Here is a 6,679-nt window from a genome sequence, read left to right as displayed (position 1 = left end):
TTCCAGTGTAGCGCATCTCCTCATAGGTCACACACTCAACCTCACCTCTAGGGACCCGCTAGACCTAGTTATAGGTCTAGAAGCAAATAGAGGTGTTGGGGGTGGCTTCTGAGGTGAATCAACATTATCTTGCCTGGCAATTGCCTCAGGGGAGGCCATCATGGTTGCCTCAGGCAGCGCAGGATTTATCTCCTCAGACAAAGGTGGAAAGGCTGATGGCAGCATGGGTTGGGGAGGGGAGGTTACCACTACTGAGGATGGAGAAGTTGTTCCTTCTGGCAAAGCAGGTTCATCAAAGTTTACAAACTCAGTGTCCCTAGCTTCATGAGGGTCCTCCCACACATCCCCATTCCAAGTTGCAGGGTCACATTCTTTTCCAATCAATGTCCTCACTTTAACAGTAGACACCTGGTGAGGCTGTGCATGCACCTTTCATTGCAAGTCAGCCACTCTCATGGTAAGAGCCTGTGTCTGTTTTTCACAATTTCAGCTCTTTCTGTACAGAAGACAAGACTCTCACTCAGGGCAATCTTAGCAGATTTGAGGCTCGGTATCTGCTTCTGAAGCCAAGAGACAGAATCCCTGAGTCCATCATTTTCTTTCATCACTTTGTCCACTGAACTTAGGAGCAACCAACCAGCTTCATTATGTTCCTTGGTTCTCCACATACAGTCAAAGGTATTATCTATATAAAGTCAATAAACTCCTTGCCTCTCACAAGCCATGAATCAGGAGTTTCAAATGCATTTATTTTGCGTAACTCTCTAAACAGTTCATGCCAAGGACTATCAGTGTTCTCCATACTATTAGAAGTAGAGCACTTAGCATTTTTGGGTCTGATCATATTAAGCAGCCAACTCCAGAAACCCCAAAACCAATGAAAGAACTCCATCCTTAATATTTTGTTCCTCTAGATCCACTCTTGGTACCAAAATCTGTATTAGTCAGGGTTCTTTTAGAGGAACAGAACTAATAGGAGATATATAATATATATATATATATGCACACACATACACACACACAAGTCCTGTATATCATTCATATATACTCTATATATATATATATATATATATATATATATATCTGTACCAAAATCTGTATTAGTCAGGGTTCTTTTAGAGGGACAGAACTAATAGGATACATTTATATTTATATCCTATCAGATATATATATATATATATATAGAGAGAGAGAGAGAGAGAGAGAGAGGGAGAGAGAGAGTTTATTAAGTATTAACTTACATGATCACAAGGTCCCACAATAGGCTGTCTGCAAGCTGGAGAGCAAGAAGAGCCAGTATGAGCCCCAAAACTGAAGAACTTAGAGTCTGATGTTTGAGGGCAGTAAGCATCCAGCATGGGAGAAAGACGTAGGCTGGGAGGCTAGGTTTGTCTCACCACTTCACATTTTTCTGTCTGCTTTACATTCGCTGGTGGCTGATTAGATGGTGCCTACCCGATTAGGTCCAGCCCACTGACTCAAATGTTCATGTCCTTTGGCAATACCCCCACAGACACACCCAGGTTCAATATTGCATCCTTCAATCCAATCAGGTTGATACTCAGTATTAAGCATCACACACATCTTAGATCAAATATACATTCCTAGTACAATCAGCTTCAGCTGAAGGGGCAGTTCACACGGCATCTAAAAAGAGGATATAGCTAGGGCAAAAAGTTGGTCATCTTACATGGACTCAAAACCAATCATTCTCAGACTCCAGCTTGGGGCATCATTGTTAAGATTGCTCCTGGGGCCATCATTTATTAGCTATATGACTTTGTGAAATTTTCCTAATCTCATATGCAAAATGGGGATAATAATAATGCCTACCTCACAGGATTGCTTTGAATAATACAGAAGCTAATAGGCTTAAAAAACTCTTAGATTCATGCTTGACAGCAAGCACTCAATAAACATTAGCTGTTGCTGTGGTTTAAATGTGTCCCTCAACTTCATGTTTTGGAAACTGCTCCCTAATGAAGCAGTATTGAAAGGTGAGCCTTTAAGAAGTGATTGGATCATGAGTGCTCGGCCTTCACGAATTGATTTATCCATTCATGGGTTAATAGATTAATGAGTTAATATATTAATGAGTTATCAAGAGAGTGGGAATGGTGGCTTTGTAAGAAGAGGAAGAGAGACCTGGGGTTGCATGCTTAGCCCTGTCACCATGTGATATTCTACACCACAAAGTCCCCACTACCAATAAGGCTCTCATCAAAAGCAGCCTCTCAACTTTGGACTCCTCAGCCTCCATAACAGTAAGGAACAAATTCCTTTTTTTATGAATTACTCAGTTTCAGGTATTCTGTTATAAACAACAGAAAACAGGCTAACACAGCTGTTATGAGAATGGTAGGTCCAAATACTCTGCAGCCAAAGTGACAATTTCAGACAAAACTCAATTGATGTCCTGAGTGAAATGAACAGTGAGAGCCCTGCAAAGAGATGATCCACAACCTTAGGTCTTAATAACCAGAAGAACAGGGCCTAGAGCTTAATGTTGACACTGGGGGCAAAACTCCCTTGTCCCCATGCTTATGAGCTCCAGGCTGACCTAGAAGCTGCTACTTTTTGCACCACGGAGACCTGTTCCAGCCTGCAATGAATTTGCTGCGTTCAAAACTCTTCTACTAAGCTGCTGAGGCTTTTGCTTGATCAACTTTACATGGCATGAGAACCTGTCCCACTGAAAAGTTGTGGGTGGGTGAAGCCCAACATGGCATACCTCATTAAGGTAGCAAGCAGGAGGCAAGAAAGCCAATTACAGCAGCCTAGAGTCCCGTGCCGGGGCTGGCATCAGAGGCTGCCAGCCTCTCTTGCCTCAGGGCACCAGATAATAACCTCAGAATTGGGACTTGGACAGCCAGCCAAGCTCAGCTTCAACTTCACAGTACAGAGACATAAAAGGCAACACCTTTCAGAAGAGCAAAAATGTCCTGAAAGCAGCAGAGAGATGAAGCGTTTAATAGGTATGTCCTCCTGGTAGGCAGGTGTCAGGAAAAATGGTCTCTGTTTGCTTATTAAATGCTACCACGACAATGAGGTAGAGATGGCACTACAGGCCTAATGAAAATTCAAACCCTTCTTCACAGCCAGGACAAGTGGGTGGGTTTTATTAGAAGAAACTCCACTAACTTGTAAGAGGTTTAGCATACTGAATGCACCACAGTCATGGAATAAAATTACAAAGAAAATGAAGAATAGTTTAATGAATTCACAGACGGTGTTCTTAATGTGGGTAGACAGAAGCAACTGGGCTCCACTTTCACTGTGTGTACAGTTCTGCCTTCCAGTGGGCAATGACAATACACTTCAATATTGGTAGTACAGTTTGGAAAGAATTTTTCATGGCATATGTTCCAATGCATAAGCTTCTTTTGAAAACCAACCCAAATAAAACAGGCTGACATAAAAATGTAAATGAAATATCAAACAGTGCCTGGCATATAGTATATATTCAATAGTGCCATTATGTTTTATCTCCCTTCCTTCAGTAACTTGCTCTCTGAATATGTGTTCCTTATTTATATTTATACTTATTTGTCATACATGTAGATAGTGTAATTATGTGCCCCATAATCTTCCCAGTGCTTTATACCTAAGGATGCGTTTAATCCTAACCACAAATATATAAGGTGGGCTCAATTATGGTCCTCATTTTAATAATAAAGAAACTGAGTTACAGAGATATTAACTAGCTAATAAGTGGTGAAGCCAAGATTTGAAGCCATGAATGTATGCTTTTTATCACTATTAGTCACCTTTTTGTTTTCTGAGGACAGAGGGGAGTCTATTTATCTCTGTTTTATTCAGGCACCACTAGTTCCTGACACATAGGAGGCATTCAGTAGTATATGCTCATTGAACATCAGGAAAAGCCTACATTCCACCGTGCTGGGTCCCTGGCAGAGAACTTTACCACACACACTAAAGGAGTTCAGATTCTCACTTAAGAAGCTAGAAGAGAAAGAGCTCGAAGGAAAAAGCAGCCTCTTCTTTGTCTGTCCCACCAATCCGGATGGAGACTAGAGAGCAAGGGGAATCATAAAAAATCATATAGATTTTTCATTTCATTTACTAGAAGCAAAAGCGAATAGATACTCTATGTTGAATAATCTTGTCCAATTCCCAAGATGTTTCCAACCCTTGACTTGTTTAGTCACTTCTCATGCCATTATGGAACAACCAAATATCTTCTATCAGAATGAATCTTTTCAAGGGTCCTTTGGTTGCAAGGGAATGATCCAGTTTCTGGTACAGCTGGATTTAGGGCTCAAGTGATGCTTTCAGTGTTTAGCTACGCTTTATCTGCCTCTTTTAATTTTGGCTGCACCCCCAGGTTCCTCTATGAACATAGTAAAATGGCCACAGTAGCTCCAAATTTTATACTTTCTTAGCCCTCTGGCCCATGAAAAAGACAGACGTCCTTAGAAATTCTAGCCAAAGTTTTATTATAATGCATAGCTTGCATTGGGTTATAGACCATCTATGAACAAATCAGCATAATCAATTTGGATTAGAGGAATCTGCTGTACAGATGATTTAGGCACTGCCTGATGCTCCTCTAGCTTTGGACAAAGAGGAATACATGGCTGGCACCACAAACAAATACTCCCCAATATAGACAATACATGTTCCTGCAGATCCAAACAACCCTACATGTAGGAAACTTAAGACCAATTTAGATGGATATTGGAGAACTTGAATAGGATATCTAACAGCTCTATTTTCTTTTCATCTCCCCTCCCACCTTTTATGTCCTCGAAGTTTATCTTTCTAAGAACGTTTACATTTGGCTTTAAACTTGCCATTAATGGAAAATCTCATCGCCATGGGCAGGATCCTGAGACACTTAAGAACTCAGAGTCTTGTCATCTTAAAAGAATCATCAGGCAAGGTATATATCTTGAACTATTTGAACTATTCAGAAATGTCTTTTCTTTTTCTCTCTCTTCCCAAGACACCATAATGAATCAATCGCCTGCAGACAGATAACTACACCTCTCTCTCTCTCTTTTATTTTTAGATTCAAAGCTAAGGCTCTTGATGAATTTTCTGTTCAGAAAAATTAAGGCATTCAAAACTGAGTGTGGAGATGATTGCCTATGGTCCCAGCTACTGGGGAGGCTGAGGTGGGAAGATTTGCTTGAGCCCAGGAGTTTGAGGCTAGCCTGGGCAGCATAGTGAGACCCACATCTGGAAACAGGTGATGAAGAAGGCATTTAAGGGGAGTCCTTGAGTTGTCAGTTTGGGGATAAATAACAGGTTACTACTGTACTTTAAAAATAATTGCTATAAACAAATTATAGAAGAAACAAAAGATTTGTTCTAATGTATAAGGATTAAAGATTCATGACAAACATTTGCTACACACCACACGGTCTAAAAGGACATTAACATTCTCTTTGAAGGCTCCTGTGTGCCCATCTTTTGTCCCACATTCTCCCGAGAATTCCCACAATTTAAATTTTACCACATGCCGATATTCCTAACATATTTATTAGTTTTGCAGGTTTCAAATTTACTTAATGAAACCTTAACAACTGTGTTTGACTGTAGCACTTTTTTACTCATTATTATATTTCTGAGAATCACTCATGTTTTGCACATAGCTGTAGTTCATTCATTTTCACTTGATCACATGACTAAACCTTGGTTTATCCAATCTACTCTTGATGGACACTTGGGCCATTTTCATTATTTGACATCTATTAACATGTGTCCTAGTTGAAGAGTGTAATCATTTCTTTAAGGACTATCCCAGGGACTATTTTTCTGGGTCATAGGGCTTGCTCGTCTTCAACTTTAACAAATAATACCAAGTTGTTTGCCAAATTGGTTGCAAATTCTTACTAAATCTTACTAAATCTGTATATTCTTACTAAATCTGTGTGTTTGTGTTTGTGTGTATGTCTTGCTTGCATTAGATCCACATTCTTGCTAACACCGATACTGAAATACTTTTCCTTTAATTAAATTTCTATTCTAGAACAGTTTTAGGTTTACAGAAAACTCATGAAGAGAGTACAGAATTCCCAGTATACCCCGCACCCAGATTCTCCTATTAACATTTGTTACATTTAACAAGCCAATGTTGAAACATTATTGTTTAAAAAGTCCATACTTTATTCAGATTTCCTTAGCTTTTACCTAATGTCCTTTTCTAGTTCCTAGATCCCATCTGGGATACCACATTAGAGACTCATCATATCACCTTAGGGTTTTGGCTGTGACAGTTTCTCAGACTTTATTTTTGGGATAATCTTGCCAGTTTGGGGGAGTAAGGGTCAGGCATTTTATAGACTACCCCTTAATTAGGATCTTCTGATGTGTGTTCTCATGATCTCATGTTTACACTGGGAAAAGACCTCTTCCTCCCAAGAATACATTGTCCCAGCGTAATACGTTGTCCCAAGTGCCATTTTCGCCACATCATATCGAGGCCACATGCTGTCAACACGAATTATCAGTCCTGATGTTAACCTTGATGAGCTGGCTGAGATAGTGTTTGTCAGGTTTCTTCCTTATAACATGACTCTTTTTTCTCTCTTTTCATACTGTACACACTCTTTGGAAGGAAGTCATTATGTGCAGCTCACACTTAAAATGTTGGGAGCTATGGTCTACCTCCTTGAGGGTGAAGTATATGCATAAATTATTTGGAATTTATATA

The sequence above is a fragment of the Homo sapiens genome, chromosome 3, assembly GCF_000001405.40.
Source record: "Homo sapiens chromosome 3, GRCh38.p14 Primary Assembly".
In the NCBI taxonomy this organism is placed as follows: Eukaryota; Metazoa; Chordata; class Mammalia; order Primates; family Hominidae; genus Homo; species Homo sapiens.
The sequence above is the reverse complement of the archived record's forward strand: the minus strand, read 5'-3'. Positions refer to the sequence as shown.